General features: G+C 36.5%; 1 annotated feature.

The window, feature by feature from the left end:
- Positions 10,872 to 12,071: an enhancer, noted in NCBI's record as "BRD4-independent group 4 enhancer chr1:106455803-106457002 (GRCh37/hg19 assembly coordinates)". NCBI's record gives its function as "activates an origin of replication core promoter dependent on BRD2, P300/CBP, MED14 and CDK7 cofactors, and independent of BRD4, by STARR-seq in HCT116 cells {active_cell/tissue: HCT116}" and the evidence as "EXISTENCE:reporter gene assay evidence [ECO:0000049][PMID:35650434]".

Genomic DNA, 26,007 nt, shown 5'->3' with positions numbered 1-26,007 from the left:
ATTAGAAGTTTTAAATTGCAAAGTATTCTTAAGCCATTATCAATCTGTAAGAGTTGAGAAATGAAAATATAAAAAGCTTCCCATTCATATATATATATAACAGTTAATATCTCTGAAGGCTTTCAATGAGTATTAAGTAGCTGAAAAAATTTCCCTGGAAGAAAGCTCCAGGCTCCCCCTTTCATCATTGCCCTAACTCATTCACTATACAAAACTTCACACATACTCTCCTTATCTATGTGTAAAACACAGATATTTCTTTCTCTCCATTGTGTTCACCTTTTTTGTTTAAGGAAATGTAAGTGTTAAGCTTCAGCTATCCTTTTTTCATCTTTTAAGGCTTTGTGCATTAAGCATAACCCATACTTTGAATCATACATCAAAACAATTAATGTACAGTACTGAACTATAGAGTTGAATATAAAAGGAATTTCATCTCCACTTGAGGTACAATATATGTGGAATTTCCATTTGAATTAATGGAATTCATACACAGGCTCTGTGAAGAAATAGTTTTTAGGAGCTTTTAGAAGATTTATCAGAATATGTGTATAGCTCAATTTTTTCCATATGTCTATTGACTTTTTTGCTTAATTGGTTAATAAGAGTGCTTAAAAATTGACCTGACCACAAAACTCTTAATATTTTAATATAAAATAGAGTATCTTCAAAATCGTATCTGTAAGACTAATTGCTAAATGGCTGACTAATGCATACATGAATTCTGTTCCTGTGAAATTATTTTTCTAATCTTCCACTTAGTGATCACCATCCTCAAATGCTTACTTTTTCTAATTCTGTTGAATTTCAATGCCCTCCTTCTAATGCCGGGCAATTTTAGTTGGTTCTCTGCATATAAGGAAACTTACTACCTATTATGGAGCTATAAAAAGTGATAGAGAATCTTTACCCTGAAGGAATTTGTAATTGGTTATTTTAATGCAAATTTGAGTATAGTAACTGTTATACTCAAGGTGTGAGTTCAGAATTTTTTTCTATAGCAGATAATAACTGAACTAGACTAGAAGAAAGAACAAGAGTTCAACAATCAGAGATAAAATGTACTGATCACCTGTACCCTAGAGATAACCTATCATTTTTGTGCTCTGTTTGAAATAGTTTTTAAATAATCACTAGCATTTTTATATTTGTAATTCTGAAAACACCTCAGTATAAACCAATATTATTTATTTAACATATATTTTTGGAGTGCTAAGTATATACCAGGTACTACTTAAGAATATAACATATATCCACTCATTAAATACTTATAACAATTTTCTGAAGTAGGTACTATCTTTATCCAACTTTACAAATGAGTTTCTTGTACACTTATTCTCCTACAGTCCTTTATTCCATACAGCAGCAAGCCACTCAGAGCACACACCTCCCTGCTCTGAACCCTCCAATAGATTCCCAAACTACCTAAAGAAAGATCAGAATTTCTGATTGAGGTCTATAAAATATTACATAATCTGGCCCCTGTCTAATTTTCTGTCTGTTATTTTCTTCTACAATTCTCTCTATCACTGTACCCCAGCCACATAGGCCTTCTTTTGGTTCCTACATACAGTTAACCAATCTCATTCCCTTCTTAGGTTTTGTACTTATTCTTTCCTCTGCTTGCAATGCTGTGCCCCCAAATCGTCCTATAGCTTGTTCTTCTTTTTCATAACCAAGATCTTAATAAAATATCAAATTACCAGAGAGACACAGCTCACATATTCTAAGTATTTGTCACTTTCTATTTTACTATTTTTCTATTTTACTCTCCTACATAAAATTCTTTATGCTCTTAACAAAATAAATGTTTTCCATTTCAATTTTGTTTCTAAGATCCTTATCTGTGTCCCCCACTTTTGAGCTTTAAGCTTATTGAAGGCAGAGAGATCTTGTTTATTTTACAACACAGAGTCCCTGCAGCTATAAAAGCACTATGGCCAAAAGTACTCTTGGTAAATAGCTGCTGAATGAATAAATGGTTACATAAAGTAACTTCAAATCTATTTTTAAAACTTTAGGTTTCTATACAACTTTTCATACTTCCCAATCCATGCTCTTAATTTGAAAATATTCAGATTAGCAGACAACACATCTGCCAGTGACTTAATCTTAAATTTCCAAGCTTTCAGAACTGTGAGACATACAAAATTTTGTTGTTTGTAAGACATCCAGCCTATAGTACTTAATTATAGATGTCTGAACAAACTGAGACAAAGAGTTAAATTATTGTCTAGTAGAACATAGTCAAATAAACTGGACTGATGGTATTTTAACATATTCCATCTGGTTTTTGAGCTAATAATCTAGAAGACCCTGATATTCCTTTTTGTGTGTGTGTAAATATTTACTGTCAAGATTTCCTATAATTACTTGCTTTTATACTTGGCATTCGTATAGTAAGGAAAGAGCCTTAAATATCAAGCATGTCTTTGGGTGGAGGTGATCCATATCGCCACACGGAGGGCATTACTAGGAGGGGTTTCTCGTCATATCTCCCTTATTTTCCTATGAGGGCCTACAAGGTCATGTGTTTCAGATGGAATAGCTTCCAGAGGGAGGACAGCTATAAAGCTACCTCTGACTTCAGAGTAGGAAAAAAAAATAAGCCTAAATTATGTTGTGTGTCTATAATTTCTAAGTTAATTTATCACAAAAACACAGCATAGTCTAGCTTATCCTAATAACATGAGCAAATTATAGTTTTGGAAACTATGCAATTATTTTCTAAAATGTGTTATGTCTGTCTAATAAAGCTGCATGATAATATAAACAGATTATAGTTTTTGAAAATGTTATTATTTTCTGAAACCTATGTAATGCCTGCCTAATAGAGCCACATATAAGTGGACAAATTAATTAGCAAGCAATGTAATACATTTCCATCCCTTCCAGTCACAGTCTCTTAGCCAAAACTGGTGACAAGGGAACAACCTACCTGCAAGTGAAATATAAAGGAGCACACTGAATATGTGATGGTGAGCTCTCATTGTCTAAGCCAGAGTGTTATATTATCAGAGGAGATGCTATGACACAAACATTGACACTAATCATATTTAAGTAGGTATAAAAGATTCAAGTATACATTATAAAATGTTTTTTAAATTAGCTACTACAAAAAAGATTTCAGGTAAAAATCCACCTCAAAGATTTTATAGCTAGAAATTATCCTTAGACCAACAGATATTTTAACTTTCAGAAGTAAAATACACAAGACCTGGATAATGAATGAAATGTTAATATATGTACTTCAGTTATACCTTTGCTCCTAGAAGTTAACTGGAAAGTTGCAGTGAAACGGTATTTATAATTGCACAGTAGCCATTATAACTTGGCATGGAATCTACACATCTAAAAATGCAATTCTCTGAATGTAATTATTACCAAATGAAGGGATTCTAAATTGTCATGCTTTCTTGAAATGACATTTATACCAATGTAAATCAGTTTATCTAAATGTTGGTATTTTGTGACTATTTAATATATATTATGTGGCTACAATGTTCAAGTCTTAAAAACTGAACATTCTAAACTTCTTTGATGGTATTTGCAGATTCCTTTTGTTAAAATTAAGAAATTATTCAACGGATTTAGACAATTTAGAAAAACATTTAAAAATAATACACATGATTCAGCAATATGGCATTTAATCTTCCTTTTTCAAAATAATTATTTCTGTGTCCATGTGTTCTCGGTGCAGCACACCAACATGGCACATGTATACATATGTAACAAACCTGCACGTTGTGCACATGTACCCTAAAACTTAAAGTATAATAATAATAAAATTAAAAAAATTATTTCTGAGGACAATTTTTAAAAATAGTTATCAGTGAGTTAGAGATAAGACAATATACCTTTCTTGTTCTAACTCTAGTCAGGTTCCTCTAAGCCCTCTAGACCTGGACCTTTGTGTCAGTCATTGTAATACCTACATTTCTTAATTTTGGTAAGGAATTTGCTAAGTTAGTTTAGGGAGAATCTCTCATCCTTGATATATGATCCCCTAAATATCTGATGAAGTTCCACAACCCCACATTTCCCCACGTGATATCTGATCACCCTGATTTAAGTTCGGCAAGAAACCTGATAGGTCTTTATAACCAGAATCTCCCCCAATGCCTGATATTTCTTCTTAGTAATTTTCCATCCACTGATCCACATCCTGATTCTTAGCTATAAACCCTCACTTGCCCATCCTATATTGGGAATTGAGCCCAGCTCTATACTGAGATCTCTTTCCCTCCACTGCAATAGGTCCTGAATAAAATCTTTTTTTTTTCATTTGTTTGTTTCTTTGTTTGTTTTTTAACTGTCCAACTGTGGTTTCCTTTAACAGTTAACAACCATAAATACAGAAATCCTTTCAGCAATAAAAAAGATAATTAAAATGCCAAGTGGGTAATATAAAAATAAGTGGTAATTTGGTGAATTAGAGCTAATTTGTTTAGATACAAAAAGCTAAATATGAAATTATAGCAGTTGAGAAAAGAATTGTTTTTCAGGACACAGAGAGTACAACATCAATATAAATGTGGAGATAGAAATGATATATTCAGGTGAACATTAAAGGACTGATCTAGCTGATACTGTCGTTTTCATAATACGCATAATCCTATTAGTTTTAATACAAGTTAAAATGTACTGAGAGTACTGTTCTAAGTGCTTTGCAGGTGCTTTGTCTTTTAATCCTTATAAGCACTTTATGAGGTAGGGACTATTGCTATCCCCATTTTAGATATAATTTTAGATATAGTTTTAAGAAATAAAACTCACACCAAAATGGAAAACAAAACATTAATGCTCATAAACCAAGTACCTTTTGAAAGTCAGGGTTGGGATGAGGCTTGGAGAGAAAAAGAAACCATGGTTTTAGGAGGCAACCATGTGCAGAGGTGACGCATGCCAATAGAGTTATAATTTCTGCCATCAAATCCCTTTCAAAACCTCTCATTATTAGCTTGTCTAGCTTGCTTAAGTCAGTTCTTTTTAAATAATCAGTGTTCATTTGTTGTTTTTCATGTCATTATTTAATCTTATTTCCCGTAACCACATTTCTCCATGGCCCCAGTGGTGGTAACAGCCTCTTTGTTACTACCAGCAGGATAGTAATATCCTTTGGTATTTCAAAGGATATTTCAATAGTTTTCCTGCACCCTAAAAATAGTTTTATAAATAGCCTCTCTGCACTCTGGTAGGGAGACCACATAAAGTTTAGGAAGAGGGACATCCCATTTCCTGAGCCTTTGGACACTCTTCTACAGTGTGCCAGGAAAGTTCCAAATTTTACCTCATCCAACCATAGGCCGTATTGAGTCTAGGCCTTAATTAACTAACATAGCACATGAATTACTCCTCTCCAAGGTGTTCTACCCAACTCACTAAATTTTAAACACTGTGGCAAGAAATGTGTCCCGCTGAGCCTTCAATTTTGCCCAACTTGCTCAATTATTCTTCTGTTCTCCACATATACACCACACAGTCCTGCAGAAATAGATTTGTGAGACTTTATCTTTCCTCAATGGTTGTCTCCTCATATAGGCCTTTATATCTTATGAGAGATGGTGCTGGGGTGAACCTCTTTAATGACTTACAGCAATAAGAATGTAAGTGGTAGTTCTGAGGTAACTAAGCTTCAACTTTTGAGGCAATTTTTCCAGAAGAAGTTACAGAAAGACTTCCATGCAGTGGAGGAACTGGCTTCTTCAAAAAGAGGAAGGATGTCTGTCTCCAGTAGCAAGTGAGGTTTACAGAAGCTTGGAAATTTGGAATTCTTGGCCTTATCTATACCTGCCAAAATGTCCTCATATTCTAAGGTCCTATTCATTCCTTAACAGTGTGCTTACTTTAACATAAGAGTTATAAAGCGTGAAACATTTGACAATCTAACTCTGTATCTCTTAATCTTAGATTCAGTCTGAAACTCCCAATTATTGCAGGAGACAAGGGACATTTTTAAATTTCCATGGAAGTGCTTAATTATATGTCCATCACTTTTAATTTCTTTTTTCTTCATATACACACTTCAACACCCTTCTAAGAAGCCAGGTGACTCTATAAATGTAGTGAATACTATTTCCAACATAACAGTGGCATAGTCACTTGTACTCGCAGTATATTGATCTGAACCTGTACCATATTCCATACAACCAGTTGGTTATTTGATTAGTCATAATTGTATTGCTTACCATGGATATCTTGTGTTCAGTTTCCCCCCAGCTTGATGGTTATCTCTGAGCTCCTTTAATAGGTGAACAGCCTAATCCAAGAATTCTATTGGGAGGGTTTATTTCCTAGAGACAATTTCAGTACCAATTACTGTATTAAATGAGTTAAATCACAAATCAGATGCATTCCATCAAATTAGGATAATTTGAGGTTTTAATTAAGTATGAGCAGAAAATAGAGAAACCACAGAAAATTATGCAGCATACTGAGATTAAGAACTATAGAATTACAAACACTTAAGACCCAAATGTTTAGGAGAAGAAGCACTATACAAAACTTGAAAAAAAAAAAGTAAATATAAAAGTGTTGTCCCGGGAGGCAGAGGTTACAGTGAGCCAAGATTGCACCAGCGCACTCCAGCCTAGGAGACAGAGGGAGGCTCCATCTCAAAAAAACAAAAATAAACAAAAAAAGAAAAAAAAAAAAGAAAAAGGAAAAGAAAAAAAAAAAGGTTATCCTGAGAGCAGGAGTGACCTTCGTTTAACAAGCACCTAAAGCTGGATATGACTCTAGTGGGAGTAGAAATAATAGGTACCCATAATTATTCTACTCCTTCCCTCTCTTTTCCCTCTGGGTCTTCCAACTGGCTAAACCAAAAGAAAAATAGAATTCCATTGTATATATATATACTACATTTAAAAAAATCCATTTGGCCACAAAAAAAGAATGAAATCATGCCATTTACAGCAACGTGGATGGAATTGGAGGTCATTATTTTAAATTAAATAGGCAAGGAACAGAAAGACAAGCATCATATGTTCTCACTCATATGTGGAAGCTAAAAAAAAAATTGTTCACATGGATGGAAAAATAGAGAACAGAGACTGGGAAGAGTAAGGAGAAGTGAGAGGATGAAGAGAAGTTTCTTAGTGAGTACAAACATACAGTTCAATAGAAGGAATAAATCAAATGTTCGATAGCAGAGTATGGTGACTATAGTTGACAAAATTGTACTGTACTTTAGTGATGGACACCTTAAGTACTCTGCCTTGATCACTATCCATTATATACATGTAGCAAGATTCCACATGTACCATACATTTGTACAAATAAACAATGGAAAACAGAAAAAAAAGGAAGATTGGGCACAGAACAAAGTGGAAAAGGGTGGAAAGCCAATCTGGAGGGGCAAGTGGGTGATATCTCACAAATAATACCTATGATGACCTTTCTCTCCTTAACATTTCTGCTCAGGTATCTAACAGGTTTTTCAAGCTTACCAGGCCCAAGCCTAAAATCTGCTCATCCTGGGTTCTCCTTAAATCAGAAAAAATATCCTCATTGATTCATGTGTTCAGACAAGCAAACTCAGTGTCATCTTTGACTCTTCAAACTCTATCATATATTGTATCAGTAAAATATACTGAATCTACCATCTGAATGCAAGAATACAGGCTGACTCTGACTACTTCGTACTTCCTCTGCCGAGACTACTCTAGTCAAAATGACCGCTGAAATAATCTTCTTGATATTCTTCCTGCTTTCAACTTTAAACACTTGTAGAATATTTTATAATTACCGTGATCCTATAAAAATAAGCCATTTCATCATTCCCATGTTTAAAACCTTAAGAAGACTTCCCATCATATTCAAAATAAAATCCAAAGTCCATATTGTGGCTGATAAGACTCTAAAATCTATAAAATTTAGGTATCTTTATATCCATATTTTCTATATCTTTTTGTATCAGGCATTCTACTTTAGTCACCCTGACCTGCTTCAATTTCCTTGACCACCACCAAGCAAATTCCTGCCACAGGCCACTTGCCAATCCTCCACTTGGAATTCTTTCATTCCACATATTCAGAGGCTTTCTAAGTTCATATGTATCTCTGCCGAAATCTCACCTTCTCAGATAGCTCATCCCGAATCACCGTATATAAAATTATATGTATGTATATGTGTATGTGTATGTCAATAGTTACTAAGATAGTATGATGTGGCCAAAGGATCTCAGTAGTGATTTTCAAATGTTTGTTTATTACAATTAAAATATAAAATATAGTTTTATAAAAATACTTTAATTGAAATGTAAATATGAAGCACACCCTTCTCTTACATTAAATTTTAAAACGATTAACGTAAATGAAGGTGTGTATAGACTATAAGGTATTGACAGATTGAAAAGAATTTTATGAAACATATTTTACTTATATCTTAGTGACTTTTTCTCTAATACTAACTCACCCCTAATTTTGAGGTGAAATTTTAGCCATTTTTGTTTCTTTGAAACTTTATTGGTAGCTAAAATTTACACTGGAGTGGAGGTGGAAGAACTTCTTCAATGGCATTAAATTATGTCCATTATTTTTCTTTGGCTAAATGTTTCTTATAACATCTTAAAGTTCTGTGAGAACATTAAAGAGAAAACCTTGCTTTATGCTTTCAACTTTCCTATTTTAGGGTTTACAGCTTGTTTGTTTTGACATGCAGAAAATAAACAAAAAGAAATAGGATAAAATGCAATAATAATTCTGCATTTCATTATTTACAGAAGTACATATTTTGACTTAACTTTCTAGATGTTTTAAAAATATGTATACTCTCGATTCCTATGAACTTTGATTCTGCATATAAATTCTATCACAAAATATGTAATACCCAGAGAATGTTTTCTGAGACTTAAATACTTTTAAAATTGACCGGGCACGGTGGCTCATGCCTGTAATCCCAGCACTTTGTGGGGCCAAGGCGGGCAGATCACCTGAGGTCAGGAGTTTGAGATCAGCCTGGCCAACATGTTGAAACCCTGTCTTAAAAATACAAAAATTAGCTGGGCTTGGTGGCAGGCAACTGTAGTCCCAGCTATTCAGGAGGCTGAGGCAGGAGAATCACTTGAACACATGAGGTGGAGGTTGCAGTGAGCTGAGATTGTGCCACTGCACCCCAGCCTGGGTGACAGAGTGATACTCCATCTCAAAAAAAAAAAATTAAAATTTAGGGATCCGTCAGTTCAAGGCTGCTTCAGAAATAAAATATGTTTTTAAAAACCTCTTTTTTAAGGGCTTGCATTGTTTTAAAAGGAACGGGGGATGGTAAATTATATATAATCGAGATTTTTTAAAAGAGAAATTTTAATTTGTTTCATCACAGTTGCAAACTTACTTTTCCTGTGTAGTGATCATTAGAGAAAATAATGGCATTTTTCTCAGGAGAAAATTAATTTCCAAATTTAGAAAGTAGGTGTAATTTAACATTTTACTAACATTGTTGCTATTTACATGAAGATGATATAGATGTTGAATTATATTTTACCTTGAAGACAGAAAATGGAAACTAATAGTTTTAGGTAAAAAGTTAGCTGAAGCTCTGCAGTTTCACACATGCCCATGTTTTCTTTCTCTTGCTCTAAGTTCAGAACAGCAAATAGCAAGTAGAACTGAGATTTTGTCGAGTGTCTCACTCTTGACTTGTGAATGTGAAATAGACTTTCAGCTCAGAGACTTTTCTACATCACATTGCGTGCTATGTGGTGCTCTTAACTCACAATTTCTTTTTTGTAAGAGTGAATAAAGGCAGTTGTACTCACAGTTCCCATTATCTCTAATTGCACAAGCCTTCATAGTATTTGCTTTGTTCCTTACTAGTATGAAATATCAGGTCTCCATACTATTTACAAAGACAATAATAGAAATGTAGACAGGTGAATACAGAAAGAGGTTGATTTAGCAAAAGTTTGCAGTGGCAGATAATTCAAATAGAAAAAAATATTCTTACCTCTGTTCCTTTAGTGATTTGCAAACAAGTTGGAAGATTTGAAAGACCTGTTACCTATGTAAAAAGCAATTTTTTTATGACTGTTTTATTCATTAGCTGCCTCACTTCTGGTTGTTTTCTTTTGTAGATGAAACAGAAAATGTTCTCTTAGAGTGATATGTTTATAGGTTTTTTTTCTTTTCAAACCTGAAAGGTATTTAAAAGAAAACTTGCAAATTGTAATTTTTAATGCTTAGAATGTATTTAATGTAGTATATAAGAATCTCTTATGTATAATGTTCTTAATATTCTTTATATTTAAAATTTTTAACTTATTACACTCTTTGCACTTGTCAAAAACTATTTTGCCCAAAATCTTAATAGATTATAATTTTTGAGTTAATAATTGATAGAGTCTGGATATTTGTCCCTGCTGACATCTCATGTTGAATTGTAATCCCCAATACTGGAGGTGGGGCCTGGTTGTGAAGCAGGATTTTTCCCTGACCCCTATGTGGAACTCCAACAGGGTGCCTTTGTTGCTCAGCCCACCGCTCTCAACTTCTTGTGGGAGGCAGCATGTGAGCCAGGCAAAACTGGAGTGCCGGAGTGCTAGAATCAGCTGGTTGCTTCGGTGCCAGCGGGATCAAACTCCACTCACTCAGATCTGCTGCATTCCACCCCTCACAGGAGTGACCACACAGGTGAGTGAATGCAGGAGCCAGAGCAAGTGCTTTTGGGTGCTGGCAGGAGTGAACTCCATGCAGGCCCTGTGGCAGTGTCCAGGCGGGGTGCCTGAGACTCACAAGGCCCCAGGGTGCATGTGACAGTGCTCTCTTATCTCTGCCACCCATGGATGGCTTAAGTGTTTACAGCTCAGTGGGCCCACCACCCTTTCACATGAGGCAGCTGTCCTTCACCATCAAGGGCAAAGAGCCAGTATGACAGCCTTTTGTATTCACACTCATGGCTCCTGAGCTCTTGTCCGGTGTCCAGGAAAAATGAGGTCACAAGAATGAATTAAAGAATGATAAATGCAGGATATTTTATTGCCTCTGAAAGTGGCTCTCAGTGGGTAGAAGAGCTAAAACAGGGATGAGGTAGGTAAATAATCTTGCCTGGAGTCTGGCCATCTCAGGCCAGATTCGTCTCTGAAGTTACGCCATCAAGCTGTTCCTCTGAAGTCAAGCTGCTCCTCTGAAGTCAAGCAGCTTCTCTGTGACATCCAGCCGTAGTCTCTGACATCCAGCTGCTTGTCTCCTCTCTGTCAGCTGACTCTGGGTCTTTATAGGCACAGAATGGGGATGGGATGGGCCATGAGTAGTTTAGAAAAAGGCAACATTCTAGCTGGAAAACAGGGATAGAATTTCTCACTTTGGGCCACGGTTTCGGGCCTTTCTGCTTGACAGTGGGGTTGTGTCAGGGACTCACCCTTTTCTGCCTAAAATTTCTCTGCCCTCTGTCCCTATCATTTCCCCACTCTGAAGAGGCGCATCTAACTGCCATTGGAATATGGATAATGACTGATCTTAGCTACTTTCTGCTGACAGGGGGCATTGTTTTGGAGAGAATGACATTCAGATTTCTTCCAGAGGTCTACCTAAGGGTCCCTGGCAAAAGAGAGCCATCATCTGAGGCTCCAGTTGTCTGACTGTTTGGAGTTTGATGGCCTCTAGGCAAGAAGAAACAAGCTTTACAAGGTTAAGTATGCATGGATTAAATATGTGTATTGCACAACAAGGGGTTAAAAAGAGAGAATCTAGTACCAAAGATTACAGAAAGAAGAAATGAAATAGGATAAACATTCTGAAAATGACATAGAACAGAACAAAGGTAAGAACAGCAAGCATAGAGAAGACTATAAAGAGGAAACTCATGGGAGGTTAATTATTAATACTTACCTTTTATGTTTTTTAGCTTGAGGTCCCTGATCTCTTCACATTGGTACTTTGGGAGTTCTTCTGGGTTGACGGAGGTAACTGTCAGCTTCCCAGGCCTTTATTCAGTTACAATAAATCCAAGAATCTATTACAGTGACTTTCACTGCCATAAGAGTAGAAGGAAGTAGAGTATAAGGTCCCTCCCAATCTGGACTTATAGAGGGAGAAAGGGAAGAAAGTACCTTTACCATTACTAGGTCTCCTGAGTTGAATAGAGGTGGCCCTAGTTCAAGGGATTGGGCCTTTGGCAGTTGTTTCAGTTCCTGTTGGAAATGAGCCAAATAAGGTATATGTTTAATCAAATCAGAACTTTCTTGATCTACCAATAAATCATTTTTGAGAAGAGGCCTTCCATACATTATTTCAAAAGGACTCAAACCTATCTTTAAGGGTTGTTTCTAATATGTAGTTGGGCTATGGGGAGAAGGGTTGTCCAGGGGAGATGAGTCTCCTAAGACAGTTTTCTGATGTGCTTTTTGATAATATCATCTGTCTTTTGTACCTTTCCTGAGGATTGTGGCTGGATTTAAGGAAAGGCAGGTTCTTGATTGGACTGAAGATCCTTCTAATAGCAGAGCTTGATACCTGAGGAGGTAGTTGTCCATTAGCCAGAGACCCCCCTAAGAAGACAGCAGTTCTGCCACATTATGTGTGGTTCAGGTGGGTTCCTGATGATGCCTGGGCAATCCTTCCTAAAATGCTCTGGCTTACCGCATCTGTAGCAGTTAATAGGTGCACCTTGGGAATTCTGGAGTTTGTGGGCTTGCATGATGGCCATTAAAGCCTCTGTCTCTTTCCTGTATTGCCTTTTTCTCTCCTGGGCCTCCCTATTTCTATTATAAAAGACCAAGGTGGCCAATTTCAGGAGGTACTCTAAAATACTGTCTGGTCCCAAGGCCTATTTCTGCAGCTTCCTCCTGATATCAGGGACTATCTGCATAAAAATTTATCCTTTAGGATAAGTTGTCCCTCTACTGAATCAGGAGATAGAATGGTGTGTTTTACCAAGGCCGCTCGTAGCCTCTCCAGGAAGGCAGTGGGGTTCTCATCGAATCCCTGGTCTATTATGGATAGCTTGGTATAATTGAGAGGGTTAGTTCCAGTCCTACATATTCCCTCCATTATGCACACTGAAAGGGTCTCCTCTTCCATTGTCCCATCTCATCATTAGGATCCCATTTAAGGTCATCCAGTAGTACTGTTTCTCTTCCAGCTGGATAAAATTCAGGCCCTTTCTTAACACTATATGTAATACAAAGCTCACCCCCAAATCTCTCTGCCACTTGCAGGAAGGCCTGCTTCTCATTGTTAGTCAGGATTTGACTCAAAAGTAATACAACATCTTTCCAGGAGATTTCAATACTTGCATTAAATTCTGGAAAGCCTCTATGTATCTGTCAGGATCATGGGAAAACTTCTCAAGATCCACCTTAATTTGCCTTAAGTCCTGTAGAGAGAAGGGGACCTGGACCTTACTGGAGCCAAGCTCACCAGGCACCTGTTGGAGGGGTAAGAGTAAGACTGGGGCTTGTCTTGGGTAAGGATTCCTCAGATTGGGCAAGTGAGAGAGAAACTGGATAGGGAAGACAGGGTGGTCCTGGAGGGGCAGGGCCAGAGGGAGTTGGCTCCTCTGCTGGAGGTGGAGGTGCCACTCAGTTTCATTTCTTTAGTTTCTTGGAATTGCCCCTTGTAGCCTCTCCTGAGATGGCAAACAGGAGGGCTGGATCAATCCTACACTGTCAGCAAAGGTCTAGACTACCCTTCAAGATAAAGAAATCCTGCAAATATGGGGCCTCAGACCATTTGCCCTCAGGTTTACAGAAAACATCAACTGCAGGATGGTATCAAACTGAATGGTTCCTTCCTGAGGCCAAGACACTCCTTCCTGCAGATCATTATTTGGCCAAATCTTTGTGCAAAGGGCTAAAGGCATTTTTTCTTTACAGCCTGAGGACCAAAGCAGTCCCAGTGATTCAGGATACACTCCAGAGGAGTATAGACTGAAGATGATGAAGATATTTGGTTGCCTATTCTCAAAGAAAGGGAAATAGACATCCCTCATGTCCCTTCCCTCTTTCAGCAAAAACTTGGGGTGTGAGGAGAAAGAAAATGGGCATTCCCATTTATCTCTTTTGTCTTTTTTCCCCTGAGTCCTGGTACTCTTAGATGGATGCCACCCATGTGTGCCATTGTGGCCTGCACCTATGAAGCAGGGAGGGCCTAGAGAATAGGAATTATGCACACTCACCTACGCCTCCATGTTCCCTACTGTTGACAATGTTTGGGTTCCCTGGACCTTATCTATGCCATGGAGCATGGCCTCCTTCCATGAAATGGGACCTTCATTGCCAGGAATTAGTCCTGCCCATTTACATCATGCCTGGTGCCTGGCTTTGGATCCCTCAGATCTGGTTTTCCTCTTTAGGGCTTCAACCCAAAGTTTAGAATTGAGTTTGGGCCAAAAAGGTTTCTCAGGGAGTGCATAGATTCATTTAGATTAAGTCCCAGAGGGGCCTTGCCAAATTTGCAGCTATTAGCCAGTGGAGTCATTCCTCCACTGCTTCCCTATTATAAGCAGAATGCTGAAGTAGGGAAGAAAAGCCCGTTTGCATAAAAAACGTAGAATAAAAAATAAATAAATAAAAAAACAGCTTAAGTGGGGGGAAAAAGCCTCTTGCTCTATGAAAATGGGTTCCTTTAATTACTCTATCGTTCCTCTGGCTCTAACCAAGCTGGATCCCTTGGTCGGGGGAGAAAAGACTATATGGGCCCATAGCAGGAGGGGACAGTGAGCAAGAAACACTGGCCAACTGCATGGAGCCCCTGGCCGCCAGTATTTCCGTGGGGCCCTGGTGGCAGCTGCAGTTCTCTCCTGCCCCATGTAGCTGTTGGGTATGGCAATTGCATGCTGCAGACCCTTCCAAGCACCCCAGCTGGAATGGGAGGAGGTGAGGAGGAAAGCTGCTGTGCACCACACATGCTTGCAGCTATCGGGGTTGGAGTGGTGGTCCTACCTCTAAGGTCAAATGAAAATCTTATTGTTCTGAATTGCATATCTGGTGGCTGGGCCAAACACTCATTCTAATTAGTAACATTTCTTCAGTTTGTAGCAAACCCCTTATCATTATAAGACAAGAAACAGAAGCCATTTCAAACTGTGAAAGAAGAAAGAGAAAGATATCATAGAAAAGTCTGGGGGTCATGGCTGACACTCTAATGGGCAGTCAGGGACTGGGGTAGTCTAGGGGCCTTCTATCAACACCAAGGACTGGCCACATCCAAATGCTTTTAGTTGCCCCAGGACTTTATTCTGGTCCCACACAATGGCTAGACCTCTGTGTAGGTAAACAGAGCCAAAATTCTTTCTACCCAAAGAAAGAGATAGGTGGCAGTGTTGCAACCTGTCCTCTGCAAATGGCACAGCTCAGGGGAAAGTCTGAGGGAAAAGAAGTCTGGAAAAAAAGTGAAGAGACTGATCCAGCGGATCCACATTTACTCACCCTTCTTACAAATTCCAGACGAGCTCCCTTATGAAGCAGGATATTTCCCTGACCCCTTCATGGGACTTGGAACAATGGTGCCTCAGTTACTCAGCCTGCCGCACTGTCAACGCCTCATGGGAGTGAGTACATGAGTGAATGAGCTGGAAACTGGAGTGCGTGAGCTCTGGAATCACCCAGACACTTCAGTGCTGGTGGGATCAAACTCCACTCACTCAGACCTGCTGCATTACACCCCTCACAGGAGGGAGCACACAGGGGAGTGGGTGCAGTAGCTGGAGCTAGTGCTTTTTGGCACTGGCAAGAGTGAACTCCATGCAGGCCATATGGTAGCATCCAGGCAGGGTGCCGGAGACTTCTGAAGCCCCAGGGCACATGTTACAGTGCTCTTTTAGCTCCGCTGTCTGCAGAGGGCTTAAGTGTTAACAGCTCAGTGGGCCCTTCGCCCTTTCACATGAGGCAGCTGCCCTTGGCCAGTGAGAGCAAAGGGCCAGTGTGACAGCAATTTGTATCCACACTTGTGGTTCTCAAGCATCCAGGAACAATGAGGTCACACGAACAAATTGAAGGATGGTAAATGCAGAGGATGTTGTTGCCGATGAAAGTGGCTCTCAGCAGGAAGAGGATCTAAAAAGGGGATTGGGTGGGTAGGTAATTTTCCTTTGGAGTTCAGCCATCTCCAGCCAGACTCTTCGCCAAAGTTACACTGTCAAACTGTCCCTCTAAAGTCAAACTGCTTCTCTTCAACATCCAGCCGTAGTCTCTGACATCCTGCGGATTCTCTCCTTTCTTCTGGCTGAGGGTAGGGTCTTTATAGGCACAGGATGGGGGACGGGGTGGGCCATGGGTAGTTTAGGAAAAGGCAACATTCATGCAGAAAAACAAGGACAGAATTTTTCACTCTGGGCCATGGTATCAGGTATTTTGTCTTGAGGGTAGGGTTTTGTCAGGGACACATTCTTTTCTGCCCAGAATTTCTTTGCCCCCGACCTTATCACTTCGAGGTGATTGGATCATGGGGGTGAATCTCTCAGGAATGGCTTGGGCCATCCCCTTGGTGATAAGTGAGCTCTTACTCCTAGCTCACACAAGATTTGGTGGTTTAAAAATGTGTGGCACCTCCCCACCCATTCTCTCTCTTTTTCTCTCTCTTTTGCTTGCTCATGCTTCCTCTATATGAAGTGCCTGCTCCTGCTTTGTCTTCCAACTTGATTGTAAGCTTCCTGAGGCCTCCCTACAACCTGATGCCAGAACCATGAGCCAATTAAATCTCTCTTTTAAAATAAATTACTCACTGTCAGGTATTTCTTTATAGCAAGGCAAGAAAGGCCTAATAAAATAATGTTAATAATCTGAGTCACCCAAGTTTTTTTTTTGGTAAATTGTTTACAAAGACCATATAGTTTTGCAAAGTAATAATTCAGTGTTTTTTACACTATAATCCCATAGTGTCTGTTTAAACATCAGACCATCCCTTAAACTAGTCTTCTGAAAGTCTTTTTTTGTAGCCATTTCAGTAGTTGTTCATATTTAATACTTGTATATGAAATAATAGAATAATACTTAAATAATACTCTGGGCCATGAATACATTTCTCAGAAAGTCTTTTTGTTGAAATTTAACATAATCAAATTACACGGATTAAATTATTTATTGTAAAAATTCTGCCTACCACTAGGAAAAACTTAACTCTGCATTTTTCAAAGTGTAGTTATTTCCCAAATAAATAAAATATGGCAAAAAAACTATGTATATTTTGTGGGCCAACATATATGCTATGTCTTCTACAGCTGTTGTCTTCTGAGTTACTTTAGGATGTGCCATCCTGTTTTATACATAAGTATCTAAAATATGTAAATTTTTTCTCTGAATGTGTGATTAGTTTATTTCTAGTCAAAGGAGATTTCCCCCAAGATCAAATTCAATCATCTTTCTATATTTTGGAATTCTACTTGAAATATGCTTATTTTTATTTATGAAAAATGTTCCAGAATATCTGCAAGTGCAATTTTGTAACACTTATTGTAAGCATATTTTCCAATTTAAAATCGAGTTTACAGCTAGAAATAGCAGAACAAATGAAAGAAATATCATTATGAATTTTTAATGCTGTGAATTCAATAGCATGGCTAAGAAAACGAATGACAATCCTTTGGCAATATTTTTATTTTAAGATCATAGTAGGAGTGGACCGAACATGTTTAATAAATGAAACTGATAGAAATCTAGAATATATCATTTTAAAGGCTTTTCACTCAGCACACAATAGTTCATATTTAAAAAACATTTAAAACTGAATTTGGATAAACTGCAAATATTGAGATGGTCCCATGGTCTTTCATTTTTAGATGTTTTCAATGCTGTGCCACTTATTGATTTATTATCTCTAATGTAGAAATTTCCCCTTTTTATCTGCTCTGTGAGAATAAATCAACCCTTCTAAATATTTTTCTGTTAACATTTTACACTGAAGCTTTGTCAATAAGGAAAGGTGAAGAAACACTGCAGAATATAAAGCTTTGTTTTCTGCTGTTTTTGCGTTCATTTGGTATGTTCCTGCACTGTACCTGGCTTTTCCTGGCACTAGGCTCCTGTAGTGCCCACAGCTTCACCACTGCCTGCCTTCTGCTATGCATGGAGGCCACCGGCATTTAGCAACCAGCTTCTCTCTTCTGGTACCACTTTTGGCTGGTTTTGTAGAAAACTGCCCCTGGTGAGACACACCCCCATGAATTACTTTCACCACACCTTGGAAAACATTTTTCTGGCAAGTCCACCATAGCCATTTCTCTGCCCTTCAGTGAATCACAGCTGTGTACTCTCCAAGGATATTTTGTAAGGCCCATATGTGTCTTTGGGGAAGGGGGTGCTATTTCTTGGATATTCTATCTCAGCCATGGAGTAATAATTCTTATTTTGATCTTTTTTTTCTATAGTCACTAGTGAATTTATTAGAGATTCTGGGGTATGTTATCTTATGCAGGTAGATATATCTCCATTCACAAATTGTTTGGTTGACTGAGACTTGGACTCAGCTGTAGACTATAGTTAATGAGACTGAATTGCCATATCATCTGTGGCATAATTCAGAGTAGGAGATATAAAGGCTTAAGTAGGTAGGGCAATTGACCTGAATTTATTACTCAATTTTCATTTGTAGTTTTGATATTTTTATTGGGACAAATCACCATAACCACTGTTTAATTTTCTTGTGCTTTAAAATTACCAAAAACTTAGTGACTGAAAACCTCATGTATCATCTTACAGTTCTGGCCATCATAAATCCAAAATAAGCCTTAGTAAGCTAAAATCAAGGTGTTTGAAATGCTCAGGTCTTTTCTGTAAATTTTAGTGGAGAATTTGTTTCATCAGTTTTTCAGCTTTTAGTGGTCACCTATACTTCTTGGTTTGTGGTCTCTTTCCATCTTCAAAGCCAGTAGTGTTGAAGCTTCTCTCCTAACTGAACTCTACATCTGACAAGCACATCTTTTCTTTATGATTCTGACCCTTCTTCCTCCCTCATACAAATACCTTTGTGTTTATATTGGGAGTCTCTGGATAATTCAGGATAATCTTCCATTGTGAAGGTCCTTAATTTAATGAATGTACAATGTCTCTTTTGCCATGTAAGGTAACATATTCATAGGTTCTGACATTAAGACATGGTCATCTTAGGGAGACTGTATATAGTTTATCACAATCTCTGTCACTCGATATGAAGCTATAGATCTGACTAATTCCTTATTCTCCATACTAATCTGCAAGTGGTTTGCTTTTACCTGGCAGGTCCAACAGTGTAGTTCTAGAATGTTGTTTCAGGGCTTTGCCAATTCTTTTCCATGTCATAATATAGTCAATAGGGAGACTGATCATCTTGACAATTCAAAAAACATCTAAGTAGTCTACTAAGCTAATGACATTCTACTGATTAAACCTGATAAGGAGGAAGCCACAAGCACATTTTATGAAAAAGTAGGTGGAAAATGTACCCAACACAATTTCATAAACCTGCCTTCCCAGTGTAGGTTTTGTTATTTCAATGCTCTGGAGCATGTCAAGATAGCTTCTCCAAAGAGAAAGACAAGTTATCATACCTCTCATTATGTACTATGAGCAAAGTGCACAATACTTAGTAGTCTATTTTGGATTTTTCAAGTATTGTATATTACCTTTTAGTGTGCTGCTTTGGTTCATCTACAGAATTGTACACAAGATAGCCATTTATAAGTGGGTACGATAGCAAAAGAAGACGACTCCACAGCAAATTCACATTCAGTCTGTAGTATAAGGCATTCTAATAATTGGGCCTTGTAATTCAACAGATTTATTAATATTTATAATGTATGAAGCATATAGGAATGCTATATGAGTCTCTGGTGAGCAGAAATAGAAAAATTGCAGAGAAAATCTCCAGGATTTTTAATAAAATCTGTGCCACGTTTAGCAGATGATACTATTCTCCTTCTGAGAAACAGACTCTGACTTGCTACTGGGTCTTGGTAGAGAATGAAAGCCCAACCATGGAACCTTAGATGATCAACATACCTTAGCTTTGAGTCATTTCTCACATTAGGCATGATCAGGAATTCATTTCAGAGAAAGTAAAGTGCAAAAATAAACTTATACTCATGTAATGCATTTGTTTTACCACACATTTCATCACCTGAAGAAGCTGGCCTAATTGAAAGATACACTGGCATATTGAAGACTCATTTTGACACCAGTTGAGAGAGATGCCTAAAAGGATAAAATGTACTTCAGGATACAATATGTTTTAAATCAAAATTCTTTATATAGTATGCTTTTCCACATAGCCAGAATCCTTGAGTCTGAAAAAAATAAATGTGGAAATGGGAGTGGCTCTATGATAGGAATCATAATATACCTAAAAATCTACCCAATTGCCGAATAATTGTTTCCTGCATAGTATGTTTGAGCTCAGTTTCTTTGGAGACAGTAATTCTCAAAGTGGTATGAATCTAGAAAGAAAACTCAATTAATGGTTTCGCTAAATTGAAAGAGGAGACTACCTCCTGGACTTTTGGGACTACCTATGCCATTAAACTAATGGAAAAAAAGGAGGATTAATCTACAGGATGGAGTGATTCACCTTAACTTTTAAGTGAAAAAGTATTGCTTCTACATAATGAAGTCAAAGTAGACTATATGTACAACCCAGCAGATTCTCTGGGGCACTTTCCAAGTATATCCATGCCCAATTGTAAATGTTGATAGAAAATCTCAGAAATCAGAAAAAAAAAACACAAACAAACAAACAAACAAAAAAACACATACTGAGGATTTCAGACTTTCTGAGAATGAAGATTTAGGTCAATACAGAAAAGAATCTTGACCAGAGGAGGTGAACTCAAGGGCAGGGAAATACTGAAATGGTAGTTTGAATGAAGCTATAGATATAAATTAAGGCCTTGAGAACAATTACAGAAATCAAGACTGGTAACTTTGGATGTTTTCTATGTTTCTCATTACGTATATGTATTTATTTGTATATATGAATCATTATTTTCTTTATTCTTTACATTTTCATTTTTTAGACTGCAGCAGAGTGTCTGCATTAGAAACCTCCACATGAAGGGCTTTTCAACAACATATGGCAAATTCTAGAGGAATGATTTTCAGGAAATTTCAGCAGTGCATCTCCACAGTGACTGCTCTGTCATTCAGTAAGCAATAGTCTTGCCATCTCCAAGATATATCTTCAGTCTTATATCTTTGAACTGCAGGCAAAGGCTCTCCTATAGCTCAATCCTATGGGAAATGCCTACGATGTCTGTTACTTCAGTAATTTTTGGAGATATGCTTACTTCTTACTAACCAACTTATAATAATTTCAACTCCTGTTGTAGTTAACAGTTTTTTTTACAGTAAACTGCTCAAATACTGCATGGTTACTATCTCTGGATTGGTCATATATTTATACATATAATAAATTACATTGATTCTTTAATATTAAACTGATCTTAATATCTGGTGTTAACCTCACTTTGTTATAATGCATTTTGCATTTCTTTATTATGGTATTCAATTTTCTAAATTTATGTTACATATTTTTGCATCTATATATATTTTGGATATTGATTGGGGTTTTTAACCAATCAATGTTTGTTAACACACATGTTATGTCTACCAAATCGGCTTACAAATAAAAGAGCACTCATAAATTAAGTAAAAATGTCCAAGCATTTTTCATGTTCACATGACTTAAGTAAACCTTTAATAAGCAACCTGGCTTTAAGATTATTGATAAAATAAAAATGAAATACCCTCAGAATTGTCAGCATACATTTTTGTCTGGGTTTTCTATTTGTCTTTGCTAGATATTTTGAGATATAAGGGCTTGTCACAGAAAGTTACGGAATCATAAATCTAGCCACAACAAAACAATTTTTGTGTCAATTTTTTGATAAGTAAGACTGATTTAATATTGTTGGTTTAATGAAAACAGCTGAATATTCTGGTGAAAGAATTTCATTGGTGAAAATGTCCAGGTAGTAAACCTTAATTTTCACAGAATATAAACTGGATAACAAGAAAATACATAAATATTCTAGATAAACTCTTAAAATATGAATGTATAAGTGCTGTAGGTGAAGTTTTTGTGCAATTTAAAATATTTTTATCAAATGGTTACATCATTTCTAATTCAGAAAAGGTTAGAAACATGTTCTAAAAAATGTGGAATTCTTCACATTCATAAAATGCTAATACCTGATAGGCAGCTTAGGATTTCTTGCTTTCTTGGTTTTCACTAAATCTTACTTCCTTGGTTTTCACTAAAATTTAAGGTTACCAAGGATAAGAATTATAGTTAATATATAGTTATATATATAAAATATACCTAAAGATGTGTTATTAGTGGGACAAAGAATTATGTTATCTAATTCAGAAGTTATATTAAAGTTAATTTAAATTATAGACTTTAAAAGGTTATTTATGAAACATAGTAGTAAGGAACTAGTAAGTAGGGGAGAGAGATGTGAGGAAAGTAATGTATATGAAAATGCATTTTTGGAGAGAAAATTTATAAAAAAAGATAATTTTATATGATAAAAGACATTGTATGGTTAATTTTTTGACCTAGGATAAAATGACTAGTTATTTAAGAAGAAGGAAAAAATCTGGGACTGAATGGAAAGCCCAGACATGTTGTGGATAGTCTGTGTAAGTCATATGTGGTTTTTCCTGTTTCTCTGTGTACCTATCTTTATGCACATATGGAGAAAATAGAAAGTTGAAAAAGTTTAGATAACAAAATATTATTTAAAATCTGACAGACAATTGGAGAAATTTGTCTAATTAAACTTTTCGTAGTTAAAACTCTTAGTCTTGATTAAGTTAAAATATGAAATATTGTAAGGAAATGTACTGGCAGTTTAGCAATTATTCTTTAATATAACTAAGCATGAAGCCAGATTTAGTGTGGAGCCAAATCTCACATACATGCTTGCATTACTACATATTATGTTTGCTGTTTTTCATGGATAGTTCTAGCACTGGAGTAATTACTGGTCATGTGCCTAAAGTGAACTTCTTGATTGCATAGGATGTGTGGTAATATTGGTGGACTTAAGGACACTGAATTGTGTATCAGGAATAAAATATTAATCATGTGACTTTTAGGCTCTAAAAGTGGCCCCCAAGGTAGACTGAGTTGGAAACATTTAGGGTTAGTTTCCTGTTTTTTTTTTTTGCTTCTGATTTTCATTTGGTTGCTGTTTTTTTCTTCTTTGGGTTTATGGCTTGTGTATGCAAAAATATAAAACCATTGATGATTTTTATTTTCTAGTGGAATAATTTTATTTGGTTCTGTGAATAGTTATTTTGTTTCCTGTGGATTTCTAGCAAGTCATCATTTGCTTTATTTATTTATTTATTTATTTATTTATTTATTTAATTTTTGAAACAGAATCTCACTCTGTCACCAAGGCTGGAATACAATAGCCCGATCTTGGGTGACTGCAACCTCTGTCTCCTGGGTTGAAGTGATTCGTCTGCCAGAGCTTCCTGAGTAGCTGGGGTTACAGGTGCCTGCCACAACATCCAGCTAATTTTGTATTCGTAGTACAGATGGGTTTTCACCATGTTGGCCAGGATGGTCTCAAACTCCTGACCTCAGGTGATCCACCTGCCTCAGCCTACCAAAGTACTGGGATTACAGGCATGAGCCACCAAGCCCAGTCCATTTATTCTATTCATCTAAAATTCCTAGGCTACGTTTGTTGGGCCTGCAGGAATTGATGGAGCACACCAGCCATTTGGAATTTGGCTGGTTTTGTTTGCTTCTGATTATCTAGAGATCTATGAGAGCTTTAAGCTTACTGGCCAACAACAACAATAGCAACAACTACAAATACATAAAAGACTTTTAAAATAAGTTCTGAACAGAAATAGTACATTATTTATTATTTGAAAAAGTAGATGAGAACAAAAATGTTTAAATGATGTTTATTTCCTGGACAATTCAATTCAATTAATAGCTTGAGTAAATTTCAGATATTTTCCTGTAGATAATGAAGAAAATCTGTGATATGGGTGCAAAGTTTTAATGTTCAGGAGACTGGCCTTGTCGTTTAGAAAATTATATTGATTGAAGTTTCTCTCAAACTTATTTAGTTGTGTTGACCATTATTAAAATTAAGTAACATTCACTTGAATTAAGTAGTAATAAAAATGTGAGACTTTCTAATGAATTTTGATCCCGACCATTTTATTACTTATGAGCCTTCATGTGTGTACTCAAAAACAAAAAATGTGCAAGTATTGCACTGGTTTGAAGATTTTGGTGGAAAAAGTTAGCAAATCCATTGTCAGTACTGTATCTAGAAACCAATCTTGGAAATATGCAATAATGCTCTTTTTAAATAGCTGAAAAGAAATTACTCTTCCTTTCTTACTTTTTTATTGTTTTGTTGTACAGTATTTAAGTGAAAGGAGATAATTTATTCTTATTTCACTTATCAGGTTTTAATGATGGAGAGAAAAGTAAGTTGTCTTACTTTGATATGCTTGGCATGGGATCTATGACATTTTTTATGCTTTTGGTCACAGTCCTGTTACTATAATGCTAGTAATTAGATGTATGCAGTGAATAACCTAACTACTTTTATACAGTAGCTCGAAGTTCTGCAGGTGCGAACTCCTAAACACCAAATAACAGTGTTTTGATTTGTAACATGTCAGAGGAAATGATAGGACTTTCAGTAGTTAAAATACCTTATTAACTAATTTTGTGCTGTTAAATTACAGGGCTTTGACTTCTGGGTCTGAAAAAGTCACTGACTCCTGCTAAATTTTGAGCATTGACATCAGTTGAAGCATCATCATTGGATCTGAGAGAAAGAAACAATCAAAATGAACTGCTTTTGTGAGACACAGGGCCATAAATTAAAACTATTCAATTCCTCTAGGACCAGGGACTGATGGGGAAGAGGTGGGTGAGTGATAATGTAAGGGTTGATTTTGAGAGTTAAGATTAGTTCAGAGTTTTTCTATAAATTAAACATTAAAATCAAAAACACACTGATGCAAGGCCAACCTCTGGGCCCAGGTGTTGGGATAACAAGGCTTTCTTGAAGCATTAATCCACTTTTTAATAAAAAACTGGAAAAATTTCTAAAAATTTATGGAAATCTTACTTTGTGGTCAAACTGATTAAAATTAGATTTGTTTATAAGGTTATATTGAAATTGCTTTAATACTAGCAATACATCATACAAAGGTAAGCTTTAGTTTCCTCTTTTTAACAAAGTATAATATTAACAGGTAAAATTATTTGTTTACCTTTGAGTAAACTGCAGGGAGAAAATGGAGGGGGAAGAGAGATTTAGTTGGCCTCATGCTGCTTAAGTATTAGGTCTTATTGTTTGGGAAACTGTGTTTGCTCTCTATTAAAGAGTAAACATTTTTGTTTTATCATTTTGGCTAATGAATGACTATTTTATAATGACTGTGATCCTACTTTGTGTCATCAAGTATCTTAAAACTTGACACTTTCCAACAGCAAACTTTTAAGATCTAATTTCAGTCTTTTTGTCCTTTAAATAACTTTTTTGAATATTAGTTTCTCTGAAGCCAGAGACAGACATATTAGTCTTATTAGACTCGTTTGTTATGTTAGTATTAGGCAGGATGCATTGTCAAACCTGAGGTGGTGCTTAGCTTCCTTATAGATGTGTTGTTAATGTGTGTTCCAGGATTGTATGAGATTACTAAAATTTTGATATGTTTTGATATTTATGTCGTCAGTAATAATTATGATTATATTAAATTGTTGTATGCAGCAGAAAAAACACATTTTCTTGTCAACTGTGTCTTTAACTATGGCTGTCCTAAGACTTTTGTCATCCACAATTGATGGTTTGCTTTGATCTTTCTCAAAAAAAATTGGCTTATAAACAGCTACAGTCCAAGGCCTGCTTCCTTGGAAGAGTTCATGAAAATTACTCTTGAATGCAGGTTTCTGATAACTTGGAGACTTTTCCATTTGATTAGAGAGAAAACTTTCAGGACACTAATTGAAAGTCTGATGTATTTGTGAAGATTGCTAACTCAATATGAAGCAGAACAAGAGTTGATTGCATGGGCTAAGCTAATGGAGGACAGAAATAATTTTTTATGGCTTT

This window comes from Homo sapiens, chromosome 1, assembly GCF_000001405.40.
Source record: "Homo sapiens chromosome 1, GRCh38.p14 Primary Assembly".
NCBI lineage: Eukaryota > Metazoa > Chordata > Mammalia > Primates > Hominidae > Homo > Homo sapiens.
Note: the sequence above shows the minus strand (reverse complement) of the source record. Positions and strands in the feature narration are given on the sequence as shown.